This window comes from Homo sapiens, chromosome 2 (assembly GCF_000001405.40).
Source record: "Homo sapiens chromosome 2, GRCh38.p14 Primary Assembly".
Classification (NCBI taxonomy): Eukaryota; Metazoa; Chordata; class Mammalia; order Primates; family Hominidae; genus Homo; species Homo sapiens.
In genome coordinates, this window is record NC_000002.12 from 68,484,544 (window position 1) to 68,510,835 (window position 26,292).

At 36.4% G+C, this 26,292-nt stretch overlaps 1 protein-coding gene across 1 annotated transcript in view; it reads left to right on the plus strand.

Moving 5' to 3' along the window:
* APLF (aprataxin and PNKP like factor) overlaps window positions 1-26,292 on the plus strand; it is a 112,578-nt gene that overhangs the window by 16,959 nt on the left and 69,327 nt on the right. The window contains exons 2-3 of the mRNA NM_173545.3: window positions 5,647-5,718; window positions 18,188-18,360. Coding sequence (NP_775816.1) covers window positions 5,647-5,718; window positions 18,188-18,360 — 245 coding nt within the window. The remainder of the gene's footprint in view (window positions 1-5,646; window positions 5,719-18,187; window positions 18,361-26,292) is intronic.

Sequence of the window (26,292 nt, forward strand, 5' to 3'; positions counted from 1 at the left end):
TAGCCGGACATGGTGGCGCATGCCTGTAATCCCAGCTACCCGGGAGGCTGAGGCAGGAGAATAGCTTGAACCTGGGAGGCAGAGTTTACAGTGAGCCTAGATTGTGCCATTGCACTGCAGCCTGGGCAGCAGAGCGAAGCTTAGTCTGAAAAAAAAAAAAAAAAAGTTTAAGGCCAGGCACAGTGACTCATGCCTGTAATCCCAGCACCTTGGGAGGCCCAGGTGGGCAGATCACTTGGAGCCAGGAGTTTGAGACCAGCCTGGCCAAAATGGCAAAATCCCATCTCTAAAAAAAAAAATAAATACAACAATTGTTAGAGGAATGTATATTAATCACAGTTGCTTTTGACTACAAGTAACAGAAATTTGACAAACAGCAATTTAATCAAATAAGGTATTGATTTTTCTTCTGTAATATGCCTGTGTGTGTGTGTGTGTGCGCACATTTTTTTCTTTCTCCTGAACACAGTTGAAAGTACATACATGCATTATGGCAGTTCACTAAATATGTCAACATGTGTCACCTAAGAACAAGGACATTTCTATATAGCTATATTCTGTTATTATATTCTAGAAATGTGTAACTGTGCCATAAATTTTAATATCCCATACTCGGTTTTGTACATCGTTTTCAATAATGCACTTTTTGCATTTTTTTAAAAAAAATCAGGATCCAGTTAAATTTTTTTTAATTTAATCTAGAACGGTTTTCTTGCCTTTTGTCTTTAATGACATCAGTGCTTCTGTGAGTCCAGGCCAGTTATTCCTAGAGTGTCCCACAATTTTTGTTTTTCCGATTGTTTGCACATAATTTGATTCACATTAAACATTTTTGTTGAAAATATTAAGTAGGTGATGTTTATTCAGAGTACCACATTAGGAAGCACATCTATCAGTTTGTCCTCCTGTGGTGATGTGGTAAGTGTAATCACCTTGGTAAGGTGGTATCTGCCAGATTTCGCAGTTAATCTACCATTTCCTTTGTCAGTAATCTGTGGAGTGATACTGAGACTTCATGAATATTTATTCCCAACAGACCTTTTTCTTGTTGGGAAATAAACATCCTTTTATCCGTTCCTAACTTAATTTTTACATTGATAGTTAGAAAATAGTGATTTTTCTGGTTCTACCATTTTTTCTGCTTTAGCTGGCATTCTTTTATAAAGAAATGCATCTCTCCCAGCCTTACCCTCTGATAATACTGGAATACAGCACACTGAATCACAAAATAATCCATGATTCATATGGAATCTTTTTTATTATCTCTTTTTTTTTTTTTTTTTTGAGACAGGGTCTCACCCTGTCGCCCAGACTGGAGTGCAGTGGCGCGATCATGGCTCACTGCAACCTTGACCTCCTGGGCTCAAGCAATCTTCCTACCTCAGCCTCCCAAGTATTAATATTTGGGACTATAGGCACATGCCACCCTGTCCAACTAATTTTTTACTTTACGTAGATTTGTATGGAATCATGGATTATTTTGGGATTCAATTTGCTGTATTCCAGTATTATCACTATTTTGATGCTCGAATTGTTCTAAATTTGGTCAATCAGAGTTTTTTTGCACTGGTTTCTCTGTCCTTCTGACATGCACCCATCAATTTTTGAGCATTTCTTTGTCCTCTGGCACAAGAAGATATCCTAGGTCCACATTATACTTTTTGTGCTTCAGACCTGGAATGTGACATTTCTCAAAAGAGCTCTGGTTTCTTTCAGTGGGGAATGGTATTTTGAAGCCAAAATCTATACTATTGGATTTATTTTTTTCTTCCAAGTGTCCTCCTTCTCCCTGAGAAGTGGTGCCTTTTCTGAGCTTGCTATACCTGGTTCCACATATTTTTATGCCTCTCTTTTGGATTCTCTATTAGCTTGGCCTCTGCAATGTTGGATCTGAAATGTGTTTTTAGTATTTCCCAGTAAAAGTGTGACTTAATTTTTTTTGGGAGTGATACCTATGCTTCAGCACCCCTAGATTCCCACTCCCTCTCTCCTCTGTTTCTGTCATTTGCCACCTGATTTTCTCTGCTCCAGCATAGGTTCTGGGGCTTGATCTTCTGAAACTGGCATTTCTCATCTCTCTTACATGTAAGTTAAAGTTTTTAGTAATCTCCATCTCCTAGTTTTACATTACATATGGGATGGGATATGGGTAGTTTTATTTGCTCTATTTGTTGATTTCTTTGAAGAATGTGTGTTGTGATTAGAATTTAGGTGACTATAATTATTCTATAAAAATTGGAATTCTTCAATTTAACTTTTTATGGCTTTCTAAGATGTGAAATATCTGACTTTCAGTTGAAGTTTTAATTTAAACTTGGTGACTCTTGGTAATCAGTAAGTAAACTTGGGCAAGCCTTCAGTATATTTTGAAGTAATTTATGCCATTTGTCCTACCCTAAATGGCCTCTAACCAGTGTATTCTTTTTGAGTCCCTGGGTTTCTTTGCTTTTTAGTAGCCTTTCTCTTTCCACTTGCAGACCAACATCAGTCATTTTCTTCTGTTGTCAGTGTGCTGTCTACTAAATCCTATCCACTTTATGAATAGAGAATTAAGAATTTGGATGACATATCTTGTTAGACTTAGGTATGCCATTAGATAAGCAGGACCAAATGAAAGCCTGAGGGCCTCTTGGAGCTTTATTTAGGATCTGAATCTCCTCTGAATGTCTATTTGGTTATTAAATAGCCATTTCTGCCTTATTTCCAGTTCTTTACTGTGTTCTAGTTTGACAGTTAAACTGGGTAAATCATCTTAAAAACAGGTTTTGCTTTAGGTTTCATGTAATGATATTGAGGGATGCAATACAACGTTAAGAGCATGAATGGTTCTGGAATCTGATTCCTTAGGTTCAGATCCTGGCCCTACTACTTATTGGTTGTGTAACTGAGTAGTTGCTTAAACTCTCTGTACTTCCATTTTCTCACCTATGAAGTGAAGTATAATAATAGTATCTTCACAGATTTTGTGAAGACTGAAAAAGATGATACATGACAAGTCTAGAATGGTGCTTTGGTGTTGATAATTGATTGTTATTACAGTTGATGTATTAATAAATAATAAAAATGTGTTGGATATTCACTCTGTATAAGGAGCAGTGATAGGCTGTTAAATAAAGCAGATCATCAGATCTTTAGGATAATCTGTTTGTCACTTGCTCCCCACCCCTCTCCGTATATCAATCGTGACATTAAAATGTTTTAATGATAATTTATTAAACCTTTATGCTTCCCATTGAGAAAGTGCAAATGGTTATTTTATTGTGTATTCACTATTTAGGGTTTTACTTTAAAAGGAACACTATAAATGTCTGAGTGATGTTAATTTCAAAGATTGTTTATAGCATTCTTTTTGTATTCTATAAAGACACATAGCTTGTAATGAAATTACACTGTTGTGGAGTTATGTGTCCACTAGAGGTCACATTATACTTTTATATTACTTAAAATGTCTTTTATCTTCGTAGTGTCAGTGAAGCTTACTTCAAAGAAAGACAGAGATAGGAAAAGTTCATGTATTGCTTCCTGAAAAAATACAGTTTAAAAAAGGAAAGAAAGAAATTTAAGATGGACTGTTAAAGGAACCAGCTTTATATGCCATAGTTTTATATTTGATAGCTTATTACTCTGTTGGTTAGAAAATTGGTTCGTAGTATGGAAGTAACAATGAGATTTTGGTACCCAAGTCAGAAATAGGAACTGCTTACTCTCAGCCGCATTTTTTGAAATTACTTTTGAATGATTACATGTAGGTACAGTCATGTATAAATGTGTTCTACATTTATTATCTTTTTTTTTTTTTTTTTTTGAGGCAGGGTCTCACCGTGTCCCCCAGGCTGGCATGCAGTGGCACGATCATGGCTCATTGCAACCTTGACCTCCTGGGTTCAAGCAATCTTCATACCTCAGCCTCCCAAGTATTAATATTTGGGACTATAGGCACATGCCCTCTGTCCAGCTAATTTTTTACTTTATGTAGAGATGGGGGTCTCACTGTGTTGCCCAGGCTAGTCTTGAATTCCTGGGCTCAAGGAGTCTTCCCACTTCAGCCTCCCAAAGTGCTGGGATTGCAGCCACCACACCCTGCCTATTACCTATTTTTATTAAAAGGAGTGTGGATTTGGAGTGCTGCCTACTTGGAGAGTGACCTACCCAAGTTACCTAAATTCTCTGGACTTTCAATTTCTATGTAAAGTGTTAATAATAGCTATGGCAATGTTATGTTGAATCACAACATTTAAGTGAAAGTTCTGTGCAAATGATGCAATGAGTCATCAGATAACTGCTGTTGTTTTTAGCCTACTAAGGTACAATCTGATATACCTAATGCTAAATGACGAGTTATTGGGTACAGCACACCAGCATGGCACATGTATACATATGTAACTAACCTGCACATTGTGCACATGTACCCTAAAACTTAAAGTATAATAATAAAAAAAAAGGTACAATCTGGGAAAAAGAAAGGAATCTTTAAATTTTTAGCCTCTTTTTTTCTGAAACAATAGATTATTAGTTTGTACTTACTTCTTGGATAGCCATTGTGGCTAACAATAGATTGTGAAAAATTCATTCATGTGATACTCATTCCGATGCTTGATATTACTGTCTATATGTTACAGCCTTAAGTGTGGAACAGCTATCTGGTTAAAAAAATGAGTACTGACTCCTGGCAGTTTCACATTTTTTGTGGAACTAATAGGTTTAATTGAGTTTATGTGTTGGTATGGTCTATTTTTTACTGATAATTTTGGTCCTTATGCGGATAATGCCAACATTCAAGTGCTGAATATCAAGGTTACCAAGAGATGGGTCAGGTAGTTATGGTGTTATTGAAGTTGGTGCTTAACATGTTTTCATTATCTATCAATCAACCACAAATAAAAAAGGCAATCTTAACTATTGTATTTACAGTGAAAAGGGAAAGCTTTGATTGGCACTGTCAGCATTTAACATGCAAACAATTTTTGAACTTTGGTATGTGGAAATGATTGTGAGCCTAAGTAGAACACTGTTGGCTCAAAACAGGAAGCAAATAGATATTTTTAAAAAATGCTAATTTATTTCTTACTGAAAATGTTTGGTTTTCACTATTCCCCTTCTTGCCTTCCTGAACTCTTAACTGCTGCTGATGGCCCCAGAGTTTGCATGCAGTTCTGCCTGATCTGGGTCTCTTTGACCCCAAAGCCTATAGTCAGACCCTTTTACACTTACCAGATCCTCGAGCATGGGATCTCTTCCTTTTAAAACCTTTATCATCATGACATACTATATGTTTCTTGTATTTGAAATGTTTTCTGGTAAGTACATATTATATACAGACTTTTCGTATTTTATGAATTTTCTTGGTAAGAATCCCCAGTAGATGTCTGTCATGAATGGAAACTATCATGCAAGGTTTTGGGATCCGTTAGATTCTAGGCTTGAGGCTCTGTTGTTGACTCTTCCATGACTTTGGGCAGGTTTTTTTAATCTCATTATTTGTTAAATGAGGACAATCATTTCAATATACAGTTGTTGAATGAATGATATATTTCATATCTAGTCTACTGATTTCAGAAACATCGCCAAGGGTTTCGTTTGCCTTTTTGTTTTGTTGCTTTTTAAGGAGGTGGCTATTCTTAATCTTTTAATTTTTTTACTGTATAGATAACAGACAAGAGAGTATCCAGAAGACATGCCATTCTTGAGGTGGCAGGTGGTCAGCTGCGAATCAAACCGGTAAATATGTTATTAATGATTCATTTTAACTTTCATCTCTTACCCTTTCAGTTCCCAAGCAGAGGTGCCTATTTTCTAAGGTTATGGGAATAGGGAATTAATGTCAGAATATACCCTTCTCATTGCCAGAAAATAATTAGGAGATAAAGATCTAAACTGTGAGGAAAACTACATATTTTCTCATAGGACAATGCCACATTTACCTAATTAGAATTTCAATGAAAGATGACTGCCAGTTCATGTATATATTATGATTTGGTTTAAAATTGAATACTCCAAATAATAAGAAAGCCCATAACTATTAATGGTTGGTTTTTTGAGCTGGGGTAGTGACCAAAGTAACTTAAATGTTATAGGGTTATATTTTAACATATTCTCTATCACTCTGTATAGAGTTGAATATTTCTAAAACTTAGACTTTGTTCAACTTCGAGGTTTGAAAAATGATTTTAATTTGAAAGTTTTTGTTGAGGGCTCGAATTTTAATTGCTTGCTTTATAGTTTACTGCTGCGAAATCACTGATGATATGCAGGGACAGCCAGTTTCCAAGAATATACAATGTGATTATTCCTTTTCATTTGCAGAGTCTATTGTGTAAGAGAATGAAATACGTACATAAGGGTCCATTTATTTTAGACTAGATCGTATGGTGGTAAAATTTCATGGAATTCATTAATTTATAACTTTTTAAAACCAATTTGTATTTTCATATTTTATATACCACTGCCTGTTAAATCATTAGTTCTTTCTTTTACACAGATAGTACTTGCTTTTATTATCCTATGTTTAACTGTTTGCAAATTTGGAAAGCATCTTTTTAATTTTAGTACTTGGAAATTTTTTGAATAAAAAATTATTCAATGTATTCACCTTATCTCAACCTTGAATAAATAATCTTTAAAAGAGTTTATGTCTCATCTTCATTCTGCATTATCTTATTGTCTTGAAAAAGTGTTAATATCTGGAGTCAACACTTCTTTAGGAGCCACTGTATTTACCATTAGATATTCATCTCTGTATCCTCTCCAGCTATCTTATTCTTCTGAGATGACATACTGGATCATAAGGCCCTTGAGTGTAGGAACTCTGACTAATCTTTGTATCCCTAGTGTTTAGCATAGTGCCTAAGACATAGTAGGTATTTAATTAATATTTGTTGAATGCATGAGTAAACGCTGTGGTGAGAACTATCTATGGCATATCTAGGAGTGGGAACATGGTAGATTTTTACAAAAGTATGTTATTCTCTAGTGCCCAATTTCTAATACCCTGCCAATGAACTACCATGGCCTAAAATAAGTTTTTTTGTTGTTACTAAAGCACATTAAAGGAAAGAATAGAGGGATCTTGAAATATAGAAATGATTATTTTTTATTTATATAGATTTAGGGAGTGCAGTGCAGTTTTGTTACATGATTATATTGTGAAATGGTGAAATCTGAGCTTTTAGTGTAACCGTCACCTGAATAGTGTACATTGTACCCATTAGGTAATTTCTCAACCCTGTCCCACCTCTCACACTACCACCCTTCTGAGTCTCCAGTGTCTGCTCTGCCACTGTGTCCATGTCAGCACATTTATTTTGTGAACAAATTAACCAGTGGAATTGTGGACAACTCAATAGATATCAGATTTTCTCTTTACACTCTTTGTTTACTCAATGATAAGAAGAAACCCTTCTTATAACAAAATTGACATGGCATTAAATTTTTTTATATCAAAAATAGGTGATTAGAAAACCGTCATATTTACTAATGCATGAATATTTTAAACATTTACATTTTTTCTCAGTGTTAATCAAGGACATTTATATTTTAAAATGTTTTATAAATTGGCTTTAATAAAGGTGCTTAGTTGGAGTTGTGTCTATACTTGGCTGAAAATTATTCAGATATATTTTGTACTTTTGTGGCTATTCAAAAGAGTACTAATAAGGCTGGGCGCGGTGGCTCACGTCTGTAATCCCAGCACTTTGGGAGGCCGGGGTGGGTGGATCACGAGGTCAGGAGATCGAGACCATCCTGGCTAACACGGTGAAACGCCGTCTCTACTAAAAATACAAAAAATTAGCCGGGCACGGTGGTGGGCGCCTGTAGTCCCAGCTACTCTGGAGGCTGAGGCAGGAGAATGGCGTGAACCCGGGAGGCGGAGCTTGCAGTGAGCCGAGATTGTGCCACTGCACTCCAGCCTGGGCGACAGAACGAGACTCCGCCTCAAAAAACAAACAAAAAAAGAGTACTAATAATGTAAAATAAATATGCCCAAATTAAAGGTGATTTTATTAGTTGAAAATCTTACCTTGAGTTAAATTTTATCCAGTATGTACTGAGCCAAATTTCTATGTGAGATTTTAGCAGTGTTCAGTTATAAAAAGGCTCCTTTTTAAAATACTCTTCACTTTTACTGGGTCTTTAATTAGATGGTACGCAGATCATAAAACCACTATGTATGACATTAACAGGTGTCTTTTGAGCACAAAACTGTAGTAGAAATAATACTAGAAGCTAGAGCAAAAATTCCTCATGACCACTAGATATAAAACTAAAATTTGGAATGATTTATTTAAGTTATACCTCTGTTTATGATCTTTTAAATATTATTTAGTGTAATTTTGTAAACTTTCCCATAAATGTGATGTTTAGACATGGGAGAAAGGTAGCTCTTTTTTATCCTTTTTCGAGTACCTTTTTTTGACAACTTAGAATGTCATAGCCTTCTGGAGAACGTCTGATCTTAAATACTCAGCAAATTCTAGAATGGGAATGAGAGCCCAGGTTCTTTGAACTCTGTAGTATTTTTTTGTTGTTGTTATGTTTCTGAAGTCAGGATTCTCTTGGCATTGGGTGTCTTTTCTTTAAAAAAATTTCTTCAAGTTACAACTAATTGATGATCTGTCTTAACAAGAAGTTTTAGTGCCTTCAGTTGAATAATATTTTAGAACTGAAAGCAACCTTAGATTTGGACTTATGTATGTGGAAATTTGACTGGGCCAGGGCTAGCATTGCGTATCAGTGGGGAAGAGGAGTTTTTATCAGTAAATGGTACTGGGACAGTTATCTGTTTGGAAAAAAAAATTAGATCCCTACTGCAGACCCAAAAATCTACTCCAGGTAGATTAAATGTGAGAGTCAAACTATAAAACTCTTAGAATATAATATAGGGAAAAACCCTTATGACTTTAGAGTAGGGAAGGGTTTTTAAACAGGATATAAAAAGCATGAACCATAAAAACAGTTGGTAAAAGCCAATGAAATAAAAATAAGAAACTTCGTTTATCAAAAGACACTATAATGAAAATGATAACTACAACAGGGAGAAGATATTTGAAACACATGTAATTGGAACACGTAATTAGGCCATTCATGCATTGACATAAAGAAATACCTGAGACTGGGTAATTTATAAAGAAAAAAGATTTAGTCTGTGTGCTGTGGCTCACACCTGTAATCCCAACAATTTGGGAGGTGAAGGCGGGCAGATCACTTAAGGTCAGAAGTTCAAGACCAGCCTGGCCAACATGGTGAAACCCTGTCTCTACTTAAAATACAAAAATTAGCCAGGCGTGGCCAGGCGCGGTGGCTCACGCCTGTAATCCCAGCACTTTGGGAGGCTGAGGCGGGTGGATCACGAGGTCAGGAGATGGAGACCATCCTGGCTAACATGGTGAAACCCCGTCTCTACTAAAAATACAAGAAATTATCCAGGCGTGGTGGCGGGTGCCTGTAGTCCCAGCTACTCAGGAGGCTGAGACGGGAGAATGGCATGAACCCAGGAGGCGGAGCTTGCAGTGAGCTGAGACCACACCACTGCACTCTAGCCTGGGTGACAGAGTGAGACTCCGTCCCAAAAGAGAAAAAAAAAAAATTAGCCAGGCGTGGTGGTGGGTGTCTGTAATCTCAGTTACTCGGGAGGCTGAGGCAGGAGAATTGCTTGAACCCCAGGGGGACAGAGATAGCAGTAAGCTGAGATCGCACCACTGTAATCCAGCCTAGGAGACAGAGTGAGACCCCGTCTCAAAAAAAAAAAAAAAAAAAAAAAAAGAAAAGAAAAAAGATTTAATTGGCTCATGGGCAAGCTTTACAGGAAGCATGGTGCCATCATCTGCTAGGTTTTTGGTGAAGCCTTAGGGAACTTTCAATCATGGCAGAAGGCAAAGGGGAAATAGGCATGTCACATGTTGAAAGCAGGAGCAAGGGAGAGGGAGTGAGGGGAAGGTGCCACACACTTTTTTTTTTCTTCGACTTTTAAGCTCAGGGATACACGTACAGGGTGTGCAGGTTTATTACCTAGGTGAATGTGTGCCATGGTGGTTTACTGCACAGATTATTCCATTATCCAGCTATTAAGCCCAGCATCCATTAGCTATTCTTCCTGATGTTCTCCCTCCTCCCACCCTCCACTCTTTAGTAGGCCCCATTGTGTGTTGTTTCCCACCCTGTGTCCATGTGTTCTCATCATTCACCTCCCACTTATAAGTGAGAACATGCAGTGTTTGGTTTTCTGTTCCTGCATTAGTTTGCTGAGGATAATGGCTTCCAACTCCATCCATGTCCCTTCAAAGGACATGTTCTTGTTCCTTTTCATGGCTGCAGAGTATTCCATGGTATATATATACCCCATTTTCTTTTTCCAGTCTATCATTGATGGGCATTTAGGTTGACTCCATGTCTTTGCTAAGCCACACACTTTTAAATTACTAAGTCTCACGAGAACTCATGCACTATTTGGAAGATAGCACCAAGCCATGAGGTATCCCCACCCCCATGATTAAAATACTTCCCACCAGGCCCCACCTCCAGCATTTGTGGATTACAATTCAACATGAGTTTCAGGTGGGGACAAATACCCAAACTGTGTAATTCTTCCCCTGACCTGTCCCAAATCTCATGTCCTTTTCACATTGCAAGATACAATCATGCCTTCCCAATAATTCTCCAAAGTCTTAACTCATTCCAGCATTACCTGAGAAGTCCAAAGTCTCACCTGAGACAAGGCAAGTCTCTTCTATTTATGAGCCTGTAAAATCAAAAGTTATTTACTTCTAAGAAACAATGGGGGTATAGGCATTGGGTAGACATCCCTGTTTCAAAACAAAGGGTCTGTAGGCCCAACACAAGTTCAAAACCCATTAGGGCAGTCAGTAAGTCTCAAAGCTCCAAAGTAATCTTTGACTCTGTGTCCATATCCTGGGCACACTGATGCCAAGGGTGGGCTCCCAAGACCTTTGGCAGCTCCACCCCTCTGGCTTTGGAGGGTACATTCTCTGAGGCTGCTCTCACAGGCTGGAGTTGGTAGATATACTATGTTTGGGTCTAGAGGATGGTGGCCCTCTTCTCACAGCTCTACTAGGCAGTGTCCCAAGTGGGGACTCTGTGTGGGACCTCCCATCCCACATTTATTCTCTGCACTGCCCTAGTAGAAGTTCTCTTGTAAGGGATTTGCCGCTGCAGCAGGCTTCTGCCTGGATACCCAGGCTTTTCCATGCATCCTCTGAAATCTAGGTGGAGGCTGCCAAGAATCCACCACTCTTGCACTCTGTGTACCCACAGGCTTAACACCGTGTGAGAGCTGTCAAGGCTTATGGCTTGCATCCTCCAAAATGGCAGCTCAAGCTGTATGTGGGGTCCTTTGAGCCATGGCTGGAGCCAGAGCAGTGGGAATATGGATAGCACTGTCCCAAGGCCATGCAGGGCAGCAGGGCCCTGGGACTAACCCATGAGATCATTCTTCTCTCTTAGGCCTCTGGGCCTGTGATAAGAGGGGCTGCCATGAAGGTCTCTGAAATGCATTTGAGGCCTTTTCTCCATTGTCTTGGATATTAGAACTTGTTTTTTTGTTTGTTTGTTTTTTGTTTTTTGAGATGGAGTCTTGCTGTGTCACCCAAGCTGGAGTGTAGTGGTGTGATTTCAGCTCACTGCAACCTCCACCTCCTGGGTTCAAGCAGTTCTCCTGCCTCAGCCTCCCAAGTAGCTGGGACTACAGGCGCGTGTCACCACGCCCGGCTAATTTTTTTTGTATTTTTAGTGGAGATGGGGTTTTGCCATGTTAGCCAGCCTGGTCTCAAGCTCCTGACCTCAGGTGATTCACCAGCCTCAGCCTCCCAAAGTACTGGGATTACAGGTGTGAGCCACCGTGCCCAGCCTGACTTTTTTTTTAGTTGTGCACATATCTCTCTAGCAAGTGGTTGCTTCACAGCCTGCTTGAATCCTTCTCCTGAAAAAGCTTTTTATTTCTCTGCCACGTGGCTAGGCTACAAATTTATCAAGCTTTTGCACTCTGCTTCCTATTTGAATATGTGTTGCAACTTTAAGTCATTTCTTTGCTTATGTGTTTGAGTGCAGGTTGTTAGAAGCAGCCAGGCCACTTCTTGAACACTTTGCTGCTTAGAGGTTTCCTCTACCAGATTCCCTAAATCATCATTCTTTAGGTCAGACTTCCATAGATCCCTAGGGTGTGAACCAAATGCAGCCAAGCTCTCTGCTAAGACGTAACATACTTGACCTTTGCTCTAGTTCCCGATAAGTTCCTCATTTCCATCTGAGACCTCCTTAGCCTGGACGTCATTGTCCATATCACTATCAGCATTTTGGTCACAAATTTGCTGATCGTTTGGTCATTTAACCAATCTCTAAGAAATTCCAAACTTTCTCTCATCTTCCTGTCTTCTTCTCAGCCTTCCAAACTTTTCTAACTGCTGCCTGTTAGGGAGTTCTGAAGTCACTTCCACACTTTTACATATCTTCATAGCAATGTCCCAATTCCAGTACCAATTTTCTGTATTAGGCCATTCTTGTGTTGCTATAAAGAAATACCTGAGACTGGGTAATTTATAAAAAGAGGTTTAATTGGCTCACAGTTTTGCAGGCTTTACATGAAGCATGGTGCCTGCATCTGCTTGGTTTCTGGGGAGGCCTCAGGAAGCTTACAATCATGGAAAAAGGCAAAAGGGAAACCAGTACATCACATGTTGAAAGCAGGAGCAAGCGAGAGAGAATGGGAGGGTGATATGGTTTGGATTTGTGTCCCTGCCCAAATCTCATGTCGAACTGTAATCTCCAGTGTTGGAGGAGTGGCCTGGTGGGAGGTGATTGGATCATGGTGGTATTGGATTTCCCCCTTGCTGTTCTCATGATAGTGAGTTCTCACGACATCTGGTTGTTTAAAAGTTTGTAGCACCTCCCCCTTCTCTCTCTTTCTCCTGCTCCAGCAATATAGGATTTGCCTGCTTCCCCTTTGCCTTCCACCATGATTGAAAGTTTCCTGAGGCCTCCCCAGCCATGCTGTCTGTACAGGCTACAGAACTGTGGGTCAATTAAACCTTTTTTTTTTTTTAAATAAATTACCCAGTCTTAGGTGAAAACAGACTAATACAGTGTGGGAGGTGCCCACTCTGTATTAGTTAAATGACCAGATCTCATGAGAACTCATTATCTTTAAGACGGCACCAAGCCATGAAGCATCTGCCCCTATAATCCAAGCACCTCCTGCCAGGCCCCACTTCCAGCATTGTGGATTGCAATTCACCATGAGATTTGGGCAGTGACAAATATCCAAGCTATATCAGGAGTGCTATCCAAAACATATGACAGATGCCTTTAATCAATGAGAAAAAAATAAAAAATCCAGTAGAAAAATGGACTGAAGACTTGAGTTGCACATTAGAAACCAGACTAGCTAATAACCATGTTTATATTAATATAGTTTAATAAAATGCCCATTATCTTGAAATAGATTGATGTATTTATTCAGCAGCTTATTGTAGCTGCACTGTCTACAAGGTGCAATTTAAAGACATTTAGAGAATTTCTAACACTGATTTTAATTGTTAATGGAAGTTTAAAGATCTTGAAAATCAGAATGAGATGGACAAGTGACTTCTAGTTCATTCATTTTATCTTAATGTTTGTTAAATATCACTTATTCTCTGTTCCCTGATCAGTCACAAATTCTTTGATCTACTAAAGCAAGTTATCTATACAAGTGTAATAAAATGTCAAGAGGGAAATTTTAGTTAAAAATCTTTGTAAAATTACATAAATGAATATGGCAAATGTTTTGTTATGATGATCCCTTCTGTATACTGCATGCCCCAAATTATATTTAAGTGATTAAATGGTTTTCTGCTTTTCTTTAACTTGGAAATCCAAACTTACCACCAAATAAAAAAATAGCTTTGACAAGGAGAGTTGAATGCAATTAGGGCAATTACTAATTTGTACTTTTAAATTGGATGACTTTCTGCCTTTTTTCCCTCTAATATTTCTCCTACAAAAAATGCTGTAGCTCTCCAGCAGTTCTAGGAAATAGTGCATGAGGAGATGATGCTAGCTCATGAGGAGATGATGTTAGCTTTTTTATATTTCATCTAAATTTAATCTACAGCCTAGTATCAGCAGGGAGAAAAGACATTACAAAGGCAAACTGATGATGATGTTCTTTGTAAATGACTGTATCACCAGTGATTGGTTATGCCCTCAGGGCGAATTCATAGCTGTCAGTGCTTTTATTTCATTTTAATAAAATCTTACTCACTTGGGGTCGTGGATGATTGAGGCAGTAGCTCTATAAGTTGCAGTTTTTCTTTTTTGCCTTTTATTATTGACCCTCAAAATATACGTCTTTGGGTGGTTGTGTTTTTTTATTGCACAAAGTTCCCGAATTGAGATTGTTTTTCTTCTCATGAAATTAAAATTGTACTTGTGAAATATCTGGAAAATCCTATAATAATAGCCTTTCCTCAACTTATTTTGTTAAAAAAAAAAGCTTTCCAAATTAAACAAACAAACAAAACACTGAAAATAAGGTGCTTTTTGGGGGTATACATCTATCATTCTTTAGTATTTAATGATAACTCTAAGAGAAAGCTATAGGAAATTGATTTGTATTTTAGTTTCATTTTTTGCAGGGATAATGCATCCTTTGCACCACTTCTAAAGTTATAGCATGATCTGTTGAAGTTTTAATTTATAATCTCATGAATTTGTTAAAAGGCATACACCAACAATGTCTCTCATGTAGGTAGTTATATCTTTTAATCATGGTGAGGTTGGGTTTGCCAATATTTTGCCTGCTCTTGTTTGCTTTTAGAATCAAAGTTAAACTTGTCTCATTGAAGCAGTTGGGAGTCCTTAACCCTTTTGTGATATCAAGAAAAGTTTGAATATTCAGAAAAATCTTTAAATCCACTGGGGTCTTGTTTTGGGAGGGATTGAAAAGATTTTTAATTATTGATTGTACTTCTGAAATATTACAGGTCCAATTCAATCTCCTTTCTCTAATAATTAAATACTCTCAAGCCAGGTGCAGTGGCTCACACTTGTAATCCCAGCACTTTGGGAGGCCAGGGCAGGTGGATCACTTGAGGCCAGGAGTTTGAGACCAGCCTGGCCAATGTGGTGAAACCCCATTGCTACTAAAAACACAAAAATTAGCCAGTTGTGGTGGCGGGCGCCTGTAGTCCCAGCTACTCAGGGGGCTGTGGCATGAGAATTGCTTGAACCTGGAGGCAGAGGTTGTAGTGAGTAGAGATCATGCCACTGCACTCCAGCCTGGGTAACAGAGCAAGACTCTGTCTCAAAAAAAGAAAAAATAAATAAATACTTTCAAACAGGCTGCACATACATACACGTAAACATACTTTAAAAAAATCTATTTGGTGTTATTAGGTAATTGTCTCTTTTGGCCATATTTACAAATGTATTCCTATAAAGTATTTACAGTATTCTGTTATTTTTCAAAACTTTTATTTTTTGTGTAATTATGCCATTGTTTTCATTCCTAATTTTTTGGTGTGTAATCTTCCTTTTTGTTTATTAATATTGTTAGGTTTTTGTATACTTTGTAACTTTTTAAAAGCTACTTTTTGGACTTCATGTACGTATAGCATTTTAGTTGGAGTATATGTAGTTTGACATTGATTTTTTAACTTATTCAGTGAGTAATATGAATTTAGGTTTACGTTAGAGGATCAAACATTAGACTTGAGTATCATTTTTACTCTTCATTTTGGAATCTCCTGTATTAACAGTTTTAGGAAAAGGAAAAGATGATCATGGACCATACTCATGGGTTCACTTTCTTTGTGGCTGGATTTGCTGACTGCCAATATTTAACCAAGTATAATTTAAATATTAAGTGCTTTCCGCTGAGGAAAACATACTCAAACAGAATATTGCGTGATCTCTGGGTTTGTGATGCTTTTGTAAAGAAATGTAGTTTCCTTAAGTATGTTACCTTTTCCAGTCTTAAACAATGTTATGCCTTTGTATTTAACATCCTAGCCTTTGTAAGTTTGGGACCATGTCAGTATTTAACGTTGTTTAGAGACTCATCTGAAGTTTTAAAATGCTCATGAATGAGAAGAACATGGTCTTAGCCTATAATCAGAAGCAAGCGTCACTTAAAGAATATTCAGAGTTCAGACCAAAGCTATGTGGATTCCTGTTCTGACTCTTGCTTCTCCTGTTAGTTCAACATTCCTGACTCTGATGACCATGACATACTCAAGGAAAGGGAGCCTTCGCCCAAAAGGATGAGGAATACAGGGCACGATTCCCAAGTTCAGCAGCGGACACAAGCTCAGAGCCTGTCAATTTGTCATGTGCTTGTTGCACTCAAAAGCTCAACCTGCCAAGAGCCAGAGGACAGCTTTGAGAGAGAGAAATTAGGAGTGGCTGTTAGCATGGTGAAAGATTTCTAAACATTGTTTAAATTGTAACTTGAATTTAAAAATCAAACATTCACTACTCTTTTTAGGAATACAATATTGCATAAATCACACTGCATCTCCATTCTTATGCAATCTTGTGTATAGTTTGACTAATAAAATAATGGCCGACCAAATTTGTGTCATCTCTGTTTTAAATTTCTACCTCTGCTCTTTATCTCCAAGTTTTATTTTACCGCTTTCTTGTAACAGATTTAAAGGATAGAAATATGATGTATGGCCAGATTCTTATGAAATTGAATGGTCAGAACTAGGTGGATTATATTCATTCTGTCTTCAAAGATGTGTCTTTTTTGTGGTTGTTATTGCTCAGCATATGTCCATTCCCAGGGTGGTAATTACTTTGCTGTGATGTCTCCAGAGGAAGTCTCATTTAAACTGATGAAATAGATAGAAGGAAGGGTAATAGAGATCGGTGCTCTCTATAAGATTGTACTTAAAAAAAAAAAACACCAAAGATCTGCATTATGTAGATTGCTTTGTCATATCCTAAAGCTTATTTGTTTTAAAAACCCAGTGATATTATGACAAAATGCCTATTTGACTTATGGAAAGAGCCAATTTTAGCTTGAATCTAGTTAGAATTTTTAAGGCACCTCATAATAGGTCCTTTTTGTTTTTTGAAGCAACTCTTGTTATCTTTGCTAACATGGAAATAGTGGCAAACATAATATAAAATAGTGGATATTGTAATAGTTCTAACTTTGAGATCTGTTTACTACTTTGATTTGAATGTGGATGGTCTTCATAGTGGGAGTTTCATTTAAACAAATAAGACAATTCCTCTTTCAGGAGGTAGAAAGAAAGCTGTGTTGTTTGCTTGAGAGATTTGATTAGAATCTTCCTTCCTATATGTCTTAGTTCATTTTGTGCTGCAATAACAGAATACCTGAGGCTAGGTAATTTATAATGAACAGACATTTATTTGGCTCACCATTCTGGAAGCTGGGAAGTCTAAAATGCTGGGGCCGCATCTGGTGAGAGCTTTTTTGCTGCATCATAACGTGGTGGAAGGCATTACATGGAGAGAGAGCATGCATGAGAGAGTGAGCAAGAGAGGGCCAAATTTGCATTTATTACAGACCCACTCGCGAGATAACAAAGTTGCTCCCGAGATAATGAATCCACTCTTGTGATAATGTCATTAATCCATTCATGAGGACATTTCCCTTATGACCTACATGTTAAAGGTCCTACTTGTCAACACTGTTGCCTTAGGGTTGGAGTTTCCAACACATGGACTTTGGGGGACACATTCAAACCATAGCATTGTAGTTTCTTATTTTTTAATTGTAATAAGAAATTAGTAGGAGAAAATAAATGGTAAAGAAACTAGCCATTGTCAGGAAATTAGTGCATTTCGGATATGGAAGTTGGGGGACTCAGTTTCTCCATACTAAGAATTATTTTTCATATTTCTTCTTGTGATGTCTAGTTGTCTCTATTAAGCAAAATAGAAGACTCTTTTAACCAGTTAGTTGATAACTTTGCTTTTTTCCTTTGAGTCCTGGAGAAATGGGAGGTATACCATAGCTTCTTTTCTCTTTAATATATAAATAATAATTATGGTACTTATAAGAGTTAGATTTATTAAACTTTTAAGTCTAAGTTTATGCTTAAATTTTTTTGATACCAAAATTATGAATTCATATTTAATTGTATTTTTGTTGTAATTTTGAGTTACAACATTATTGTATTATATTCTTTTTTAAATTTAATTATATTCTTTTTTAATTTGTTAGATACACACAAATCCATGTTTTTACCAGTCTTCAGAGAAGAGTCAGCTCTTACCATTGAAGCCAAATCTATGGTGCTATTTGAATCCTGGAGACAGCTTTTCTTTGTTAGTTGACAAATACATTTTCCGCATTCTCTCTATACCCTCTGAAGTGGAAATGCAATGTACCTTAAGGTAAGTGCCTGATGAAATGAGAGTAAGAATGTTATTTTTAATCTAATTCCTCAGCCATCACAAATCCTTCGGTAGGAACCAGTAGAAACCATTAAACTGGAGATAGAGTAGGTGTGTAATGTGTGTGTACGCATGTGTGTGTGCATGCCTTTGCATGTGTGTGTGTTTTGTGCACATGCATGTGTGTATCTGTTTCTAGAAAACATTTGACTTTGGAAACTTACTATGCGTTGATAGCAGTTGCTCCCACAGGTGGTGTCTTTTACCATTGTATTGAGAATGTATTTTCCATCTAACAGTATTCAATATAGTTAATTCGAAATTGACTACCTTTTCCTCATTTTTTTAGCTTTTTGAATTTTATTAAGGTATTAACTTCTGACTTACACTTGTCTAACTCCTCTTTCTTATAAAAATAGCAGAAAATATAGAACAGAGAAACTGAGGAAATGAGGTATTAGAATAAATATACTGATGTCTGGCTTACAGTTAAAATTCATACACTAGTTTTTTTAGTCAGAAGATTATTTGGCTTCATTTCAGCTTTTAAATTATAGAATGGATAAACTAGACTTATAGAAGTAGATGGACAGAATTATGCGGAGTATGTTCTCTGATAGCAATAGTATTAAGTCAGAAATCATTAACAATAAAATAGCTACACAAATATACAAATACTTTGAAATTAAATAACACATTTCTAAATTACCCTTGGGTCAAAGAGAAGTCATAGGGAAATTGGAAAACATTTTGAACAGAGTGATACTGAAAACAGCATAAAAATTTGTGAGATGCAGCTAAATTAGCCCTTAGGGGGAAGTTTATAGTCGAATGCCTGTATTAGAAGAGAAGAAATCTGTAAAACCAGTGATCTGTGCTTCTACTTTAGGAGGATAGACAAAAAGCAAATTAATCCCAAAGAAAATAGAAAAAAAGAAAGTAAGAACTAGAAGTCAGTGAAATAGAAAATGGCCAAAATAAAATCAGTAAAGCTATGGGCTGGTTTGGTGAAAAGATTAATAAAATTGGTGAAACTGTAGTAAGGCTTACTGAGAAAAAAGTGAGAAAACACAAATTATCAGTATCAACAGTAGAAGAGGGGATATCATTACTGCTACTACAGACCTTAGAAGAATAATGAGGAAATATTACGTAAAACTTTATGCCAATAAATTTGGCAGTTAAAATGAATGGGTACATTTCTTAAAAAACAAAACTGATGCAGGAAAAATAGAAATCTGATGAATTCTATATTCATTTTAAAAATTGAATTCATAATTTAAGTATTTCCCATAAGGATCTTCACTAATGAATTCTATTAAACTTACAAGGAAGAAATAATGCCAATATTATTCTTTTTTCTCAAAAAATAAAAGAAGATATACTTCCCAACTCATTTTATGAAGCTTCTGTAATTTAGAAACTAAAATCAGACAAGATTTTACAAAAAACCCTCAAAACTACAGACCAATATTCCTCATAATAAAGTATTTACAAATCAAATCCAGCAATATGTAAAAAGGATAATACTCTATTACCAAGTGGGGCTTGTCCAAGGGATACAAGGTTAGTTTATCGTATAAAAATCGAAGCAATTCACCATAACAGACTAAAGAACTATCATTTTAATAGATGCTCAAAAATAATTTTGACAAAATTCAACACCTCTTCATGATTTTTAAAAGTTTTGAGAAAACAAGAAAAAGAAGGAAACTTTTTTCCTACAAAAAACCTATTAGTGAAATGTTGAAAGTTCTTCCCCTAAGATTGGGAATACAACAAAGATAAAATATATCAGATTTGAAAGGAAGAAGTAAAACTGTGTTTATTTGCAGATGACATGATTTGTATTTAGAAAATCCTTAGTAATCTACCAAAAAGAAAAGCAAGCCACAAAAGTGTCTATTATATGATTACATTTATATTAAGTTCTGTAATAAGTAAACTAATCTGTTAAATAGAAATGTAATCAATGGTTGTTTCCAAGGGGATTGACTAGTAAGAAGCTACAAAGGAGCTTTTTGTTTGGCTTTGTTTCAGCTTTTAAACAAATATGGACATATTCTGTGTCTTGTTAAGGGTGCAGATTATGTGGGTGTACGCATTTGTCAAAACTAATCAAATTTCACACTTCAGATATGTGCATTTCATATATAAATTATATCTAAAAATGCTTAAATGTAAGTGGAAAAAAATGTCAGGAAGTTGCTTTTTAGTTAAATGAAATTCATTAATCATTGCTTACTACTTTAAAGTACATGTCTTTTTCTCTTATCATACATGTATGAAGCGTGCTATTTAAACTAGCTGTTGAAATGAGACATGTAAAGAACTGATTTTTTTGTTACAATAAACTTTCATAATAGAATTACATACTTTTTTCAAAAATTAGGAAAATGTGCATCCTTATGAAACACAATATGGTCATTACCTGATAACTTATTTAAGCTATTATATGTCTATTTAAATTTCATTTATATTGATTCAAATTAGCTTATTCCCTTAGTGTGAAAGACCAGTGTCTTTAGGGCAAGTGTCACACTTTAAATTTATCAGGTTATGGGATTAGTGAATTTTGAATTTTTTCGTATTGATGAAACTGAAAATAAACCCACTTTCACAGCACTGTACTTTTCTCAGGCTATTTAAACCTTGGGTTCTGTCATTTGCTAGAAGGGCTCACAGAACTCAGGAACAGTTTACTTACTAGATTACGGATTTATTACAAGTGCTATATTACAGGATACAAATTAACAGCCAGATGAGAAGATACATAGGGTGAGGTCTGGAAGGATCCCCAGCACAGGAGCTTCTGTTCCAGTGGAGTGTTGGGGTACACCACTCTCCCAGCACATGGACATGTTCTTGTTCACCAACCTGGAAGTCCTCTGAACTTTGTCTTTTTGGGTTTTTATGGAGGCTTCATTACAAAGGCATGATTGAGTAAATCATTGACCAGTATGATTAAGTCAATCTCCAGCCCCTTTTCCCTCCCTGGTGGTGAGGCTGGGAGTTCCTACCCTCTAATCATGATTGGTTTTCCTAACAACCAGCCCTTCATCTTTAGAGGCTTTCCAAAAGTCACCTCATTAACATACATTCAGGTGTGGTTGAAAGGGGTATATTGTGAATAACAAAAGACGCTCCTTTCACCTGTTTCAGAGCTCTAGCCAGGAACCAGAAGTGAAGACCAAAATATGTATTTCTTACTATATCATACCATCACAGGCACATTCTTGTGGTTTCTGCCATTAGCTAGGTCCTGTAGCTTCTTAGTGAATATTTAGTTTCCTATTGAAGCAAGGACAGTACTTCTGTAGTCAGGTAATGATGAGTTAACCCTAGTTATTAGATTAGAAGCCATGAGGGGAGGTGGGGGCAGATCTTGAATTGCAGTATCATCATGAGAGATGTCTACCCGGGGGAGGCAGCTGCCTGATTTCCAGAGAGGGAGAGTCCACTGTCTGCTAGCAAGGGGAAGTGGACTATGTATTAGATAGGAAGCATTGAAATACACTTCTAGACGTTTCTTGATATCGTTGGGGTTTTCCTGTTTTTGAACTAGCTCTGTTTTGCAGGGTCAACCACATAAAAACACTGCTTACTGTTGTACAAGCTTTACATGTATGAACTTTTTATTCTCCATAATAATCTCTATGAGGACTAGGTATTGTTAATATCCCTATATGACAGATGAAGAAATTGGGACACAGAAGGTTTAAGACTTGCCCAAGGTCACAGCTTAATACATGGCAGAGGTGGGATCCAAACTCAAGCCAGCTGTTTCCAGAGTTGATGCTCTTACTAACTACCCTCTGCTGTATGAGAATGTTTACTATAGCACTCATTTGAATTGTGAAAACACCTGCAGAAAGGCTAAATAAATTTGGTGTAGTCCTATAACTATATGAAAGAGAATGAACTAAGAGAGAGCTCAGGTTAAAACATGGATAAATCTCCCTACCATAATGTTGAGGGAAAAAACCCAAAAAGGTTATAAACATATAAAACATACATAATTTCTATAAAATAATGGATGCATATATACAAATAATGAAAGTATAAAGACATGCATAGGAATAATAAATATCAAATTCAGGCTAATGTTTACTTTTGGAGAAGGAATGGGAGGGAAGGAGCAAGATTGAGGCTGGGCATGGAGAGGGCTTGAATTGTATTTGTAATTAATCTGGAGCAAATATGAGAAAATGTTTCTATCGGGGTGGTAGATACACAAGTATTTATATTCATAGATATGTAGATAGACTACATATATTCTCTATATATTTTTGCATGTTGAAATATTTAAGACATTAAAAAAGAATAGAAAAAAGCTTATATGCTTTGTAGAAGTTGTTAGGACTCCTTTGCCATAATTCTTTTCTTCCAGCCAGTTTGAATTTAAGAAAGGGATCTGAACCACAAACCAACCATAGAAGAGCTTGTCATTTCTTTAGGTTTTCCTTTTACTCACATTAAAATGTTTTTTATATAGTATTTAGATTCTGTATAATTAGTCCTACTCATTACCTACTTTGAAGGAACATTTAAGTCTATAGATGTCAGTTCTAGTTTGTTCATTTTTCACTCTTTTCTCTACATATGTGTCTATGAAATTATTCTGCCAGGAGTACCAAAACTCATGCTTTTTTGAGAAGTCAAAGAGAAAACCAAATAAGGAGAAGAATACTTGGTTTTATATTTTAGTAAATTAAATTATAGCACATTTCACTTAGAAGCACTAATATTAATTCTTCCTCCCCAATAGTGGGTGCTTAATAAGTGTTGGTTTTTTGAATGCATTAATGAAATATCTGAGGATATTAAACTGAGTGATAATGTGATAAGTATAACATTTTGTTTTCATAGCTGAATTTCATTGCTGATGAGGAAGTATGACATTTTCACTCTAGGGAGATTATTTATTTTCAGACACTTATGAGGAAAGTAAAGTAAATCCTTTGTTATACTGAATTACTTTTTTTTCAAATTGTTGAAAATCTAAGTATGTAGATTCCATATAAATAACTACTAATTTTAATCATTGATATTGAAGAAACAATAAAATGGTGATGAAAATGTCATGATAGTATGATAATATGCAAGTTTCAAATTCATTTATAATTATTTAAAATGTAGTTTTAGATCCAGCTCATTCATAATAGTAGCATATTTTATATTAAAGATATGAAAATACATAACATAAACAAAATTTGGAATATATTTGAAAGACTTAAGAATAACTTAATTGCCAAAACAATCTTAGAAAAAAAGAAAAGAGTTGGAGGGTTCACACTTCTGGATTTCAAAACCTACTATGAAGCTACAGTAATCAGGACAGTCCTGGTGTAAAGAAAGACATATAGATCAAGGAAATAGAATTGAGGGTCCAGAAGTAAACCCCTACATTTAGGGTCAGTTGGTTTTTGACAAAGGTGTCAAGACAATTAAATGGGGGAAAGAATGGTCTTTTCAACAAATGATGCTGGGACAATTGAATATCCACATGCAAAAGAATGAAGTTAGTCTCCTGCTGCACACCATATAAAAATTAACTTACAATGGATCAGAAGTCTAAATATAAGCACTAAAACTACAAAACTCTTAGAAAAAAACAGGTGTAAATCTTTGTGACCTTGCATTAGGCAATGTTTATAACACCAGAAACACAAGCAAACAAAGGAAAAGTAGATAAATGGGACTTCATTACACTTAAAAGTTCTGTGCTTCTAAGGACACAGTTAAGAAAGTGAAAAGATTTAGTGCCATCCCCATCAAGCTACCAATGACTTTCTTCACAGAATTGGAAAAAACTACTTTAAAGTTCATATGGAAACAAAAAAGAGCCCACATTGCCAAGACAATCCTAAGCCAAAAGAACAAAGCTGGAGGCATCACTCTACCTGACTTCAAACTATACTACAAGCCTACAGTAACCAAAACAGCATGGTACTGGTACCAAAACAGAGGTATAGACCAATGGAACAGAACAGAGCCCTCAGAAATAACACCACACATCTACAACCATCTGATCTTTGACAAACCTGACAAAAACAAGAAATGGGGAAAGGATTCCCTATTTAATAAATGGTGCTGGGAAAACTGGCTAGCCATATGTAGAAAGCTGAAACTGGATCCCTTCCTTACACCTTATACAAAAATTAATTCGAGATGGATTAAAGACTTAAATGTTAGACCTAAAACCATAAAAACCCTAGAAGAAAACCTAGGCAATACCATTCAGGACATAGGCATAAGCAAGGACTTAATGTCTAAAACACCAAAAGCAATGGTAACAAAAGCCAAAATTGACAAATGGGATCTCATTAAACTAAAGAGCTTCTGCACAGCAAAAGAAACTACCATCAGAGTGAACAGGCAACCTACAGAATGGGAGAAAATTTTTGCAATCTGCTCATCTGACAAAGGGCTAATATCCAGAATCTACAAAGAACTCAATCAAATTTATAAGAAAAAAACAACCCCATCAAAAAGTGGGTGAAAGATATGAACAGACACTTCTCAAAACAAGACATTTATGCAGCCAACAGACACATGAAAAAATGCTCATCATCACTGGCCATCAGAGAAATGCAAGTCAAAACCACAATGAGATACCATCTCACACCAGTTAGAATGGTGATCATTAAAAAGTCAGGAAACAACAGGTGCTGGAGAGGGTGTGGAGAAATAGGAACACTTTTACACTGTTGGTGGGACTGTAAACTAGTTCAACCACTGTGGAAGACAATGTGGCGATTCCTCAGGGATCTAGAACTAGAAATACCATTTGACCCAGCCATCCCATTACTGGGTATATACTCAAAGGAATATAACTCATGCTGCTATAAACACACATGCACACGTATGTTTATTGCAGCACTATTCACAATAGCAAAGACTTGGAACCAACCCAAATGTCCATCAATGATAGACTGGGTTAAGAAAATGTGACATGTATACACCATGGAATACTATGCAGCCATAAAAAAGGATGAGTTCATGTCCTTTGTAGGGACATGGATGAAGCTGGAAACCATCATTCTCAGCAAACTATCGCAAGGACAAAAAACCAAACACTGCATGTTCTCACTCATAGGTGGGAATTGAACAATGAGAACACTTGGACACAGGAAGGGGAACATCACACACCAGGGCCTGTTGTGGAGTGGGGGGAGGGGGGAGGGATAGCATTAGGAGATACACCTAATGTAAATGACGAGTTAATGGGTGCAGCACACCAACATGGCACATGTATACATATGTAACAAACCTGCATGTTGCGCACATGTACCCTAGAACTTAAAGTATAATAAAAAAATAATAATATACAAAAAAAGAAAGTGAAAAGACAACCACAGAATGAGAAAATATTTGTAAATCACATATAACAGACTTATATTCAGAATATCTAAAGAATCCTCAACAATGCAAAGGCAAACAACCCAATTTTAAAATGCATAACTGATTTGAATAGACATTTTTCCAAAGAAGGTGTACAGGTGGTCAGTAGAACATGAAAAAATGTTCAACATCACTAGTCACAGGGAAATGCAAATTAACACCGCAATGAGATACCACTTTACATCTACTAGGAAAGCTATAATCAAAAATATAATAACAAGTGTTGGTGAGGTTGTGAAGAAACTGAACTATTATACATTGTGGTGGGATTATAAAATGGTATAGCCTCTTTGGAACATATTCTGGCAGTTCCTCAAAAGTTTAAACATGGAATTACTGTGTGGCTCAGCATTTCCACTCCTATGTATATACCCAAAAGAATTGAAAACCTATGTCCACATCAAAACTTGTACATAGATGTTCACAGCAGCATTATTCATAATAGCCAAAAAGTGGAAATAACTCAGCTGTCCAGCAACTGTTGAATAGATAAACAAGTATTGTATAGTCATACAGTAGAATATTATT